The 14355-nt window shown below is 35.3% G+C and overlaps 1 protein-coding gene across 8 annotated transcripts in view; it reads right to left on the minus strand.

Annotated features, from left to right (window-relative positions):
- Positions 1 to 14355, minus strand: part of SRBD1 (S1 RNA binding domain 1) — a 222588-nt gene that overhangs the window by 89924 nt on the left and 118309 nt on the right. For 6 of the 8 annotated variants that reach the window (NM_018079.5, XM_047444862.1, XM_047444861.1 and 3 more), the window contains one exon: positions 9637 to 9728. The exons of the other annotated variants lie outside the window; for them this stretch is intronic. In NM_018079.5, the coding sequence (NP_060549.4) occupies positions 9637 to 9728 (92 nt within the window). The remainder of the gene's footprint in view (positions 1 to 9636; positions 9729 to 14355) is intronic. 8 annotated transcript variants of the gene reach the window in all.

A 14355-nucleotide genomic window follows, 5' to 3' on the forward strand; every position in this document is an offset into this window, starting at 1 on the left:
GGAGAAATGCTTTCTTCTAATAACCACATTTATAATTACAGATTTAAAGTAGAGATATACTTGAATTTCTCTAAAGCAAATATTATTTCTTTAGCCTAACATTTAAATGTGTAATGCAATAAGAATGATTTTCAACACATATACATTGCCAAAATACTCTGAGTAAAAACAACAACAAAAACCCCCACAACAGTAAACCAAGTCAAGAATTTAAGAATACAGGGATACCTCATTGTATTGCATTTTGCTTTATTGTGCTTCTCAGACACCACATTTCTTCCAAGTTGGAAATTTGCGGCAACCCTGAGTTGGGCAAGTCTATTGGTGCCATTTTTCCAATAGCATGGGCACACTTCTGGTCACTGTGTTACATTTTGGTAACTCTCAGAAATATTTCAAAATTTAATTATATTTGTTATGATAATCTGTGACCAATGATCTTTGATATCACTATTGTAATTGCTTTAGAACACCACGAACCACACCTATAAGGTAACAAACTTAATCAATAAATGATGTCTGTGTCCTGACTGCTCCACCAACTGGCTATTCCCCTCCCTCCCTCTCCTGGGGCCTCCCTATTCCCCGACACACAACGGTATTGAAATCAGGCCAATAAATAACCCTACAATGGCCTCTTAAGTGTTCAAGTAAAAGGAAGAGTCGCACGTCTCTCACTTTAAATCAAAAGCTAGAAATAATGAAGCTTATTCAAAAGACATGTTGAAAGCCAAGAAAGGCTGAAAGGTAGGCCTCTTGGGTCAGTTAGCCAAGTTGTGAATGCAAAGGAAGAGTTCTTGAAGGAAATTAAAAGTGTGACTCCAGTGGACACACAAATGATAAGAAAGCAAAACAGCTTTTTGCTGATATGGAGAAAGTCTGAGTGATTAAACCAGCCACAACATTCCCTTAAGCCAAAGTGTAATCCTGAGCAAGGTCCTAACTCTCTTCAATTCCATGAAAGCTGAGAGAGGTGAGGAAACTGCAGAAGAAAAGTCTGAAAACAGCAAAGGCTGGTTTGTGAGGGTTAAGGAAAGAAGCCATCTTCCTAACATAAAAGTACAAGGTGAAACAGCAATTGCTGATGTAGAAGCTGTAGCAAGTTGTCCAGAAGATCTAGTTAAGATCATAATGAAGGTGGCTACAATAAACAGCAGATTGTCAATGTAAACAAAATAGCCTTCTCTTGGAAGAAGATGCTATTTAGGACTTTCATAGCTAGAGAGGAGAAGTCAATGCCTGGCTTCAAAGATTCAAAAGACAGCCTGACTCATTTTATTAGAGGGGAATGCAGCTGGTGACTTTAAGCTGAAGTCAAGGCTCATTTGCCATTCTGAAAATCCTTGGGTTCTTAAGAATTATGCTAGATCTACTCTGCTTGTGCTCTATCAATGAAACAACAAAGCCTGCACGATGGCACATATGTTTATAGCATGGTTTACTGAATATTTTAAGCTCACTGTGGAGACCTACTGCTCAGAAAAAAAGATTCCCTTCAAAATATTAGTGCTCATTGACAATGCACCTGTCATCCAAGAGCTCTGATGGAGATGTACAAGATTAATACTGTTTTCATGCCTACTAAAACAACATCCATTCTGCATACCATGTATCAAGGAGTAATTTTGACTTTCAAGTCTTATTTTTTAAGAAATGCATTTTGTAAGGCTATAGCTGCCATAGATGGTGATTTCTCTGAGGATCTGGGCAAAGTACGTTGAAAATCTTTGGAAAAGGATTTACCATTCTAGATGCTATTAATAACATTCATAATTCATGGGAGGAGGGCAAATGTCAACATTAGCCAGAGTTTGGAGGACAGTGATTTCAACTCTCATGGATGACTTTGAGGGATTCAATATTTTGGTGGAGAAAGTCACTTCAGATGTCGTGGAAATAGGAAGAAAACTAGAATTAGAAGTGGAGCCTGAAGATGTGACTGAATTGCTGTAATCTCATGATCAAACTTGACATAATGAAGAGCTGCTTTCTTAGGGACAAGCAAATAAAGTGTTTTCTTGAGATGGAATCTACTCCTGGTGAAGATGCTATGAACGTTGTGGAAATGATAAAAGATATCAAATATTACATAAACTTCATTGATAAAGCAGCAGCAGCAGGAATGGATAGTATGGACTTCAATTTTAAATAAAGTTCTACTGAATGTAAAAGGCTACCAAACAGCATCACATGCTACAGAGAAACCTTCACTGATAAAGCAGCAGCAGCAGGAATGGATAATATGGACTTCAATTTTAAATAAAGTTCTACTGAATGTAAAAGGCTACCAAACAGCATCACATGCTACAGAGAAACCTTTTGTGAGAGGAGAGTCCATTGATACAGCAGACTACTTCATTGTTGTCTTATTTTAAGAAACTGCCACCACATCTCAGCCTTTAGTAACCACCACTCTGGTCAGCAACCATGAACATCAAGGCGAGACTCTCCACCAGCAAAAAGACTGTGAACTGCTGAAGGCTCAGATGATCATTAGCATTTTAAACAATATTTTCTAAGTAAGATGTGTACATATTTTTTGAGATATAATGCCATTAGATTCTTAACACACTATAGTATAAACATAACTTTTGTATGCACTGAGAAAACAAAAATGTCATGCGACATTTTTATAACTCCTATGTCCAGGCTTTAGAGAGAGATGGTGCTACTTTCCTGCCGGCAAGATAATCAAGAATGCGTTATTTAGTGGACAGTAATAATGCAGAGCTCGAGGTTGAGAATGATCAGGCTGACAAAAGATTCTTGAAAGTAAGAGGGAGGTAGCTCAGGAAAAGGGAGTCTAATGAATTGCTGATAAAGAGAATTAAGAGAGAGGAAGAGTTATGGCCCAAAACTTAGGGAACGTGTACATTTTGAGACAGAGAAGAAAAGGAGGAAGTAATGAAAGAGGCAGAGAATAAATGACGAGGACAGCAAAGTAATAGAAGTCAAAAAGATTTCTGGAAAATGTTAAACATAGTTACATGTGCCCCAATTTTTATTCTCAGGCATACACTCAGGAGAAATGGAAACATATGTCCATATAAAATCTTATTCATGAATTTTCATAGCAGCCTTATTCATAGTAGCCAAAAATGTTAAAAAAAAAATCTATCAACTGATGACTAAACAAAATGTTGTATACCCATACAATAGAATGTTATTTGCCAATAAAAAGAAATGAAGTGCTGATACATGCTACAGCATGGTTGAATCTTGAAAACATTATGCTTAAGTGAAAGAAGCCAGTCACAAAGACCACATATTGTATGATTTCATTTATATGAACTGTCCAGAACAGGAAAATCCATACAGAGAGAAAGTAGATTCATGTTTGCCAGGAGTTTGGGTGGTGAGTGAAGACAGTAAAGGAAGTGATTGCTAATGGGCATGGGTTTCTTTTTAGGATGAAGTTATAAAACTAGACGGTGGTGATAGTTGTGCAACTCTGACTATACTAGAAAACACTGACTTGTACACTTTAAAAGGGTAAATTTTATGTTATGTAAATTATATCTCAATGAAGCTATTATTTTTTAAAATGTAGTATGTCCAAATGTATGCCAAATACTATTTTGCCCACATATAATGAATGACAACAGTTTGCTGTATCACTACTATTCACCATTGTTCAGAAAACTCTAGTTGATGCAACTTGACAAAAAGGGAAGATATAAATATTGAAATGACATTATTTATGTATGATGATTGTCTACCTAGAAAACCTAAGCAAGTCAAATGAAAAAATAACAGAACTAATAAGGTTCCAATTAGTTGGGTAGTTTCAAGACACACAAACAAAAATTGATGCTTCTACCATATGCTATCGAACCAATAACACAGGAGTTGGGGAGTGGAGAGAATGGGGAGATGCTGGTGAAAGGGTACATAATTGTAGTTATAAGTTAATAAATTACAGAGATTTTACGTACAGTATGGTGAAATTAAAATGTAATAAAAACAATAAAAACATCAAATCATGGAGAAAAACCTATTCACAACGTTAAACACACACACACACACACACACACACACACACAAACCCATGAATAATAAAAATAAAACATGCAGAACAAGGATGAAAGTGGAAATTTCACAGAATTTCACTCTATATACTATAGACTTTTAAAAGTACAGTCATCCTGTATCCTTGGGTGATTGGTTCCAGGACCCCTGCAGACACCAAAATCTGCGGATGCTCAAGTCCTTTATATAAAATGGAGTACCATTTGCATAGAACCTACACATACCCTGCCATTTACTTTAAATCACCTATAGGTTACATTTAATACCTAATACAATGTAAATGCTATGTAAATAATTGTTATACTATATTTTCAAATCTATATTACTTTTATTGCTGTGTTGTTTTTTAAAAATATTTTCAATCCACTGTTGAATCCGTGGGCACGTGCACAGGGTCAACTGTATTTATTAAAAGGCTTTAAAGTTCATTTGCAAAACACAAAAGAAATGCTATGAAAAATGCAATTTTAAAAAATTAAAGCAAGGCATATTATAAGCCACAGAAATTGAGAGAGTTGCATTGTGGTAGTCTAGACAGACCACTGAAACAAGAACATAAAGTACACATAGGGATTTTAGGTTTTTTAATAAATGCTAATTTATTAAATGGTAACATAGGTCAATGTATAGAGGAAGACAATTAATATGGGATATTAATAGAAAAAGTTAAGCATTAGAGAAAAAAATTACATTTGACACACCAAAAGTTGGGAAGGGATCCCAGACTGAGTAAAGATTACCATCCTAAAAGATATGCAACCAGAGCTACTTCCTATGGTAAAGTGATTGAGTATATAACTTGCATGACCACATGCAGTAGCCTTGAAAGCAACATTTCTCCTCACTCATAATATGTCTTATATCCAAAGAATAAAAAGAATGTCATGGGTTTTGGCCTTTCAGTTCTATGAAATATCTAGAATCCTAAAGCTTCTGGAGCAAATCAGTTTATTTGCTTAAAAGACTATACTGAACTGTACTCTCTTTAAAATTTGTCTCATCCTGTTATCTAGCAATATTAGATATCTGTATTTTTAAAGTCCAATATTCATCTCATTTTATCCTTCTCCTTGACATCAGACAGGAACAGAGGAAAATAAGTAAAATTCCCCCATGTTGTCTTTTTCAGTCAACAACTCTAAATTAGAATTTTTTCACTATAATGCTTATTAAAATGTAGTTTTAGAAGTCGATGCAAATCTACTGTAATCCTGACCCTCTAAGTAATAATTACATTTTTGAACAAGAAGCTGAGAAAGATGTTGAACTGAAAAAAATTTTCTGTATCCTGACATAATGGAGGTAGACTGAAGGTTACCCAACTAGTATAAACTTTTCAAAATTCATAGATGATGTACCTAAAAAGGGTGACTTTTACTTTATGTAAATATATCTCCAAATAAATAATTTTTTTTTTATTTCTCTGAGAATGTTAAACTTTTTCTTCTGTCTTCATCATCTCTATTTCCTCCAAGTAGCTTTTTTTCTTCCCTAGTGTATTCTGGCATCTGTTTTTAATATTAATAGTAGAAGTTTTCATTACATGTTAGGTGACCTCTGACTGTCCACCAGGGGCAGGATGCTAAAACAATGACTTTAAGTGTTTTGCCCAGTGGTAAGGCTTGTCAACTATGGCTTACTTTGGGTGCTCTGGCCATTTCTTTGTGGTACCTCTAATCCCAAGTTTCTTCAATGTTGTCTCTTGTATTGGCAGAATCCTCTTATCTGCACAGGTTTATTCCTAACATCTCTAAAACAGCATGTAAATATTTACTCAACTACCCTTTACTTCAGTAGCATCCCCACTCTCATTTGTAAGCTGTGCCCTCTATCGTAGAAACCTTCTGTTTAACCCTCTCCAGAGAACAAATCCCCAGTCTTCTGCAAAGGTAGTAAAAAGATAGTTCCTCAATTGTGTGGAAGGGGATGTTAATTGTTATTGTTATTTTATTGAGGTGAAATTCCCATAACATATAATTAACTATTTTAAAGTACAGAAGTCAGTGCTACTTAGCATACTTGCAATATTGTGCCCCACCATCTCCTATCAAGTTCCAAAACATTTTCATTATGCCAAAAGAAAAACCTGTACCCATTAAGCAGTCACTGTCCATTCCTGTCTCTCCCCAGTCCCTGACAACCTACAGTCAGTTTTCAATCTCTACAGATTTGTCTGTTCTGCACATTTCATATAACCATACAATATGTAGTCTTTTGGGATTGGCTTCTTTTACTTATGTTGGCATGACATTTTTGAGGTTCATATGGTGTTGTAGCATGTACCAGTACTTCATTCTTTTTACGGCTGAATGATATTCTATTGTATGGCTATACCACATTTTGTTCATTCTTTCATCATGTGAGTTGTTTCCAACTTTTAGCTATTATAAATAATGCTGCTATAAGCACTTGTGTACAAGTATTTTGGTTGAGTACCTGTTTTCAATTTTTCTGGAGACATGCCTAGGAGTGAAATTGCTGGGCCTATGTTTAATTTGGTCTCGTTGCTTTTTAAACAGACTTTCAACCAATACTTTCATTTTCAACCTAGCCTCAACGCTCTCACCATACTTCCAAAGTACTTGGCACCATTTCCTGAACCTATAGGGGTTTCGTGATCCATCCCAGGTTAGTTCTGTATTTTCTACAATGCTGTCTTAGAATTCAATGTTCTCAAGTTGACTAGGTGACTTATTGCTCATCTATCTGCTTTAAGCTTCAAATCTTGTTGTTGTTGTTGCTATCTCCTTTCCCATTCCTTTTATCTTAGTAGGTTTTATCTTAGTAGGTTTATGCTTTCATTCTATCATGTCATTTTAATCAATTTCAGAAGGAGAGAAGGAATAAAACATACACTCAATCTTCCACTTTAAATCCATAATAGACAGTTTAATATCATCCATCTACTATATCCATCCAATTTAGAGGCCATGTACCATGCATTGTGGGGGAATATAAGCATATATATAGAAGACAACTTCTGTTTTCAATAAGCTGATAAACTGGCCAGTGAGATGTAGTAATGAGGGTTATTTTCTTACATATGCTTAACACACATATAAATTTTGAAGTTCTGTTATATTCTTATACAGCAAACTTTTAGAGGACTTAAAGGTAAAAAATCCACACTCGTAGGTAGCTCAGATCTCACATAACGTAAAAAGTCACCCCTGGCATCAATCACCAGGAAAAAGAAAGACTCCCAATGAGAAATAGGAATTGAAAAGAAAGTGGACTCTGGAAAACCAAGAGTAGAGACTCCAAGCTCTTTGAATATTTGACTCCAGGACCAGATTTTAAAGACTCAAAGTTTCTAGGTATATATTAAACATGGTCATTGCCACATAGAAGTGAGCTAAGACACAGAAGGAAGACACAGATACTTAAAATGAATCACACACTGATGACACAGCTAGACTTTGAAATTAGAGTAATTAGAATCATAGAATGATTCTCCATTTTATTATCTTCTATTTTCATAGAATCTTGTTGGAATGTTGTAATTCTGTCTCACCTATAATACTGTGACAATTATTTACACACATGGGCCAGTGGTTAAGAAGAAACAGCAGTATCTTCAGCAGCGGGAGGCCTGAGGGATTGTTACCTCTCAGAAAATATGGTCTAAATATTTTTTCCAACACACTATTGGGAGATACCTTCTCAATAGCAACTTGAGAAATTCTGGATTTTATTTTTTTATAAATGAAAGTACCCTTTTATCATAGAAATTAGGTACACAAATATTATGTGCACATTTACTGGCTATGTGGCCTTTTTAAGCCTCAGTTTCCTATTTTAGAAGTGGGGATAGGCTGGGTGCGGTGGCTCACGCCTGTAATCCCAGCACTTTGGGAGGCCGAGGTGGGTGGATCATGAGGTCAGGAGATCGAGACCATCCTGGTTAACATGGTGAAACCTCGTCTCTACTAAAAAATACAAAAAAATAAATTAGCCAGGCGTGGTGGCAGGCGCCTGTAGTCCCAGCTACTTGGGATGCTGAGGCAAGAGAATGGCATGAACCCCGGAGGGAGAGCTTGCAGTGAGCCGAGTTCGCACCACTGTACTCCAGCCTGGGTGACAGCGAGACCCCATCTCAAAAAAAATAAAATAAAATAAAATAAAATAAATAAATAAATAAATTTTAAAAAGTGGGGATAATAATAAATACCTCACAGGGGAATAGAAAGGATAAAATAATCTTGGTAACATACTTACCACAATGTTTCACATATACTAAGTGCTTAAAAAATTACTATTAGCAGCTCCCAGTATGACTACTATTTCTATTCCTTCTGCCATTATTATTATAAGGCAACCACCAAAAGAGTACATGGTAAGGAGACAGAGATCACGCTGAGCTGCTGTGCTAAGAAGCAGCTTCCCAGGAGAAGCAAGATTTTTAGCTCAGATTTAAGAAGATGATCATTTTAGAGAGGGAATTATGTCATGAAACAACTAAAGGGAAACTACAAGCTCTTTTGGACGTAAGAACGCTTTTAGCTTTAGATTACTGTAAAAATTTCATATATATCTCTCCAGGTATAGATTTCAAGAACAGCCGATGAAATCTGATGAGAATATTTAAGGAAAAAATTAAATAAAAGGTCCATTACTAACCAAGTGGTCTAAATATTCACTTATTATACAGAAAAATGCACTGACCTGATCTAACATATTGCTTATGATACCAACTGCTTTCATTAGATGCATCATAGTATCTTAATTTCTTTACACACAAGATTTTGACTCTTCCACATTATAGAAATCAAAGCAATCAAATACAACTAAAATCAAAGCAAGCTGTTTTAAGCAAAACATGATCAAATGACAACTCTATTAGCAAGATGAGAGACTGGTCATTTGACAAATATTTGGCAATAAACTGAAAGTCTGTGTACTTTCATAAATTTGTATTACAAATATTTTTATGTTACTGTATTACTTTTTGCCAATAAAAAGCTTCAATAATATTTTGTAACAATAATAAAAGATCTTAGGATCTTTTATTATTAATATTATTATTACTAGTATTATTATTTGAGAGAGTCTTGCTCTGTCACCCAGGCTGGAGTGCAGTGGCACAATCTTGGCTCACTAGAACCTCTGCCTCCTGGGTTCAAGCAATTCCCTGTCTCAGCCTCCCGAGTAGCTGGGATTACAGGCACCTGCCACCATGCCCAACTAATTTTTGTATTTTTAGTAGAGACGGAGTTTCACCATCTTGGCCAGGCTGGTCTTGAACTCCTGACCTCGTGATCCACCTGCCTCAGCCTCCCAAAGTGCTGGGATTACAGGTTTGAGCCACCGCACCCGGCCTATTATTTTTATTACTGAACTCTCTAGCATTTAATTTTGCTAAAGACTTTGTGGGTTAGCTTTCCACTATAGAACAGTAGTGTTCTTTTAAAAAGTACAATATTCTTCCTCTTCTTTTCCATAATTTCAATTATTAGTCCAATTAACCACTTTCTTTCTAATATGCCAATTCTTATGCATGTAGTATAACTTTTAAATTTTCTTTGATATTTAGAATATTTAGCATGCCACACATGCTGCCCAAAATATCAAAATCACATGTTTTTGTGATGGTCCATAGTTTCTTACCTGCACTTCTCAAATTAGGGTCCAGCCCTGGCATCTCTTTGTTAGCTTCAGGGCTGACACTGTAGATTGATGCTCCTGCTTCACTGACGATACTGAGAAGACAGAAAAAGGGGAATATCACTTTCCTAACTTCCTGCCTGGTCAAAGAAAATAAATGAATGAAACCAGGCATTACCAGAAAAAAAAAAATAACAGGGCAAACTGTTCTCTTCATATCTCAATGATACTGACAGCATCTAATATTTCATTAATATAAAATGATTATGCAGTGTTTGTTTTTTTCACATATGAAATACACAGACTTAAATCCATAATGAATTCAATCAGAGAAATCAGTTGCTTTCTCTGTCACTGGTAACAATAGATGGTTTATAGATTAATACAATGAATACTCTCCCATGATGCCAACTTCAAAATATTCAGAATGCACATAGCCTCTCCTGTATTTATAATTCATTATTGACTGACATTTATGATTCTTACCTGAATGAATCATTCTAAGGCACCTTGAAAAGCATATGGACATATGTGTGGATATGTGCACATGCAGACATACAAAAAAACCACCATCATAAGCACTGTTATTGTTATTACCTGGTTATAATTAACAACCACAACATGAAAAAAAAAAAGGGATCAGACAGGATGTCATCCGACTTCTTTTCAGGAGGGTCTGAAAATCATCATCCTTTCAGTGAACTTAAAGTCTTCCACTCAGGCAGGTGTTAATTCCTTTCATCATTTATTTAATCAAATAGTCACACAAATCATTCTCTTTCATTCTCTTCCTTTCTTCTTTGGCTCCAAATACCATACAACCCACAATGAGAATACTGTCTTACAGCTGACATTTGTATGGGGATTGCCATTTTGTACAGCTTATGAAAAATTTTTACATTAGAGTTCTCCTTTATGACATGACAGGCAAAGAAACATCATCTACTCTAAGTATACACAATACATGTGGCTCTATACCATGTGACCATGTAGGTGTCAATATTCAAAACCAGAAACATGTTAGGGCTCACTTTTTAATTCACTCTTAGCAACCTCTCCCTTTCTCTGCTCCTCAGTATTTACTTCAATTGCATGAGGCAAATTTAATGGATGACATGTAACGTACTGCCCCACTGTAACAACTGAACATTGAGAAGTAAAATGTGGAAAAGTTAGTTTGCTATCCCCATCTTTGGAGAATTCTTGAATAAATTTTTATGACAAATGTAAGCCACCACAACTTGAGAAGATTATTCTGGGGAATGTGACAACTTCTCTTTCTGCAACCAAGATCTACTCTCTTAAATTTAAATAGAAAAAAATAAACACTACAACTGAAAAGCAAGGCTGCTTATCCTGTTTTTCATCATCACCATCATCATGATACAATAACAGCTGAGTGCATATTATACACAAAGCAAAAAAACACTTTACAGACATTATCTCATTTAATGGAGTAGGTTCCATTTTGGGGATAAGTAGTATGCCCAAGATCATATAGCTGGAAAGGAACTGAGTTAGATTTGGACCCTAACCTGCTTGATTTCCAAGTCTGAGCCCTTAACCAGCACAACCAGGTAACCCTTAAATAGTTTCTCAAACTCTCAATAAAATGAGAACTCATATTTTTGTGCCAAACAACCAACGCAACATATTTTTCTAAGGAAGAGCTACTTTCTCAAACAAAAGATCTAGAAGAACTCGTATCTCTCTTCCTTTGCCTTTTTCTTTGATCAAAAGGTAAAGTGAATTGTTTACTTATCTAAAGCAGAACTTGAGGACATACAGGAGTCAAATACGTTCCATAACTTCAGAGACCAGCTTCAAAATTAAAAGGTAATACTGCATTTTCTCCAAAATAACATTTACATTACGCTTATCTTCTAATAATATAATGATCAAGGAGAAAATGTAATGTTAAATAAAGCTTGTAGTGAAGAAAATGTAGTGTTACATAATAATGTGATGTTAAAACTAAATTAAGAAGTGATTTTTTCAGTTCCATTATAGTGGCATTTCCTAACCAGGGGCCCTTGGACTATTGGGCAGGAAGAGGCAGGATTAATCAGAACTGCATGTAAAATGTTTGTGTTTATATAAATTTTCCCCCAAGGAAAGCTGGTTCTAGCATTCATTGATTACTTAAATTCGTGACCCCCAAAAAGGTTAAGAAACACTACTACAGGATAAGAATATTTAGCCACCACCTATGGAAAATTCATTTTTAAATACAAATCAACATTCAATCTAACAAAGTCTTTTCTAAAAAGACAGAGTATCCATGAAGTACAGGCTAGACCTATTATTAAGAGAAAAGAATATTTTTGTAAATCTCACCACAGATTTATTTTCTATCATTTCCAGAAGCCTCCAAAGTTACAACTATTTAAATAAAAGGAACTTAAATGGTAAATAAAAATTCCAATTAACTGTGGTTGTTAGCAACTGGGTACCTGAGAATTTGCTGGGCTTTTGGAGGTTATAATTTTCAATAGACTGAGGGAAACTATTGCAAAGAAAAACACTCAGATAATAAATATTCCTCCAAATACCATACTGCCATTTCTTTTAAACAGAGGAATACAAAACAGATGTGACACATTGCACCCAAAGATTGTGGATTAACATTAATATTAAATCAATACAAAATGTAGTAAATTTCATATGCTTTACTTACTGAAGAGTATGTGTCTAATACACAGTTCAGTGCTCAGCATAGATCAGAAATCTTAAATAACCTAAATGCACAGAAAAACCTCAACATTGATTACTTCAATATAAAACATGTAAGGACTGAAGAAGTATATGTGACTAGAATTAATGAAACAAATCAAACTGGGAGTGATGATTTTTTTCCAGACATTGCTAAGAACAAAAGTTTTAATACCCTCCCTTTTTCATTCCTATTTAAGAGTTCAAGAATAGACACTTGCCAAAAGTACACTAAATTTACGAAAACACTTTCTGTTTGATGGGAAATTTTCCAATAAACTATTGGGAAATTATTCCAATTATCTCTAATATATTTTGAAGAAAGCAAAAATGAACTTTATATAAAATTCATATATCTAACGATTTAATATTACATTTCACAAAACAAATTTCTCAGCAGTACAAACAAATTAGCCTCAAAATCCTAGCAATTTGATTATTTTATGTATTTTGCCATGAAGCAGATGACTGAGCAGAATTTATCATCTGGGGGGATTTTAACTGCCACAGTTGTAATTCAACTAATTATTTATAGATTATTACAGTACTCAGAAGGCCCTTCAAATTGCTATAGTTTAGACCTTCACCTAAACCAATACATTAGTATTTCAAGCTTTAGATATAAGAAAGTACACTTCAGAAGCTAGCATTGAATTTACATTTTACCAGATCTAAAAGTTAATATGCCAATTCTCTATAATTAAATTGATAATTTAAGATATTTTATTTAAGCACTATTTTTAGGATTTTTATTTTAAGGAAACAAACCACACACTTATAAAGTAAAAAGCAAGTAAAGTACCTACAATATCAACGCATTCACTTTCAAATTTTTTAACAAAAACCCTATTGAGTTAAAAATGCTGCTTTATTTAATTAATTTATTTTTTTGAGACAGAGTCTCACTCTGTCGCCCAGGCTGGAATGCAATGGCGCAATCTCGGCTCACTATTACCTCCGCCTCCCAGGTTCAAGAGATTCTCCTGCCTCAGCCTCCCGAGTAGCTAGGATTATAGGTGCCCACCATCATGCCCAGCTAATTTTTGTATTTTTAATAGAGACGGGGTTTTGCCGTGTTGGTCAGGCTGATCAGAACTCCCAACCTCGGGTGATCCACCTGCCTCAGCCTCCCAAAGGGCTGGGATCACAGGCGTGAGCCACTACGCCCAGTACAAAAATGCTAAGTTTTATCTTAGGTAAAATTCAATGGTGTTACTTACAAAAAGCTAATCATTAATCAATATAATTTGTTTTCTGTATAAAAGATATACGTTTAAATAACAGAATTGATATCTCTACAGTTTACAAGTCTTTTCTACCATGACAGATTGTATGTTGATGAACCGTTTAAAACTAGGTTTTCAAAAAACTTTTCTTACAGTGACTATTCATTCTGACCATAAGGAATGTTATTATCATTATTATATTTTGCCAAATTGAGATGGGAAGGTGAGATTATTTTCATGAGAAAGAAAAACTAGGTTTTTTCTGTTGTTGTTGTTGTTTTTGAGACAGAGTCTCGTTCTGTCGCCCAGGCTGGAGTGCAGTGGCGCCATCTCCGCTCACTGCAAGCTCCACCTCCCGGGTTCACACCATTCTCCTGCCTCAGCCTCCCAAGTAGCTGGGACTACAGGCGCCCGCCACCACACCTGGCTAATTTTTTGTATTTTGTAGTAGAGACGGGGTTTCACCATGTTAGCCACGATGGTCTCGATCTCCTGACCTCGTGATCCGCCTGCCTCGGCCTCCCAAAGTGCTGGGATTACAGGCGCAAGCCACTGCGCCCAGCCAAAACTATTTTTTTTTTTAAATTACTGGGCTAACAGTTTTCACCTTCATTTACAAGATTTCATGAAGACTCTGCATGAATCTCTTTTCTTCCCATTTCCCAAATATGAAAATAACTTGGTTTTTCTGATTTTAAAATAAATTACATGCTCTTTTATGTTAACAGAAGAACTTAATTTAAAAGTAATTTGCTTAAATAAAAATGCAGTTATTTAGTAAGAT

Source organism: Homo sapiens, chromosome 2 (assembly GCF_000001405.40).
Source record: "Homo sapiens chromosome 2, GRCh38.p14 Primary Assembly".
Taxonomy (NCBI): domain Eukaryota; kingdom Metazoa; phylum Chordata; class Mammalia; order Primates; family Hominidae; genus Homo; species Homo sapiens.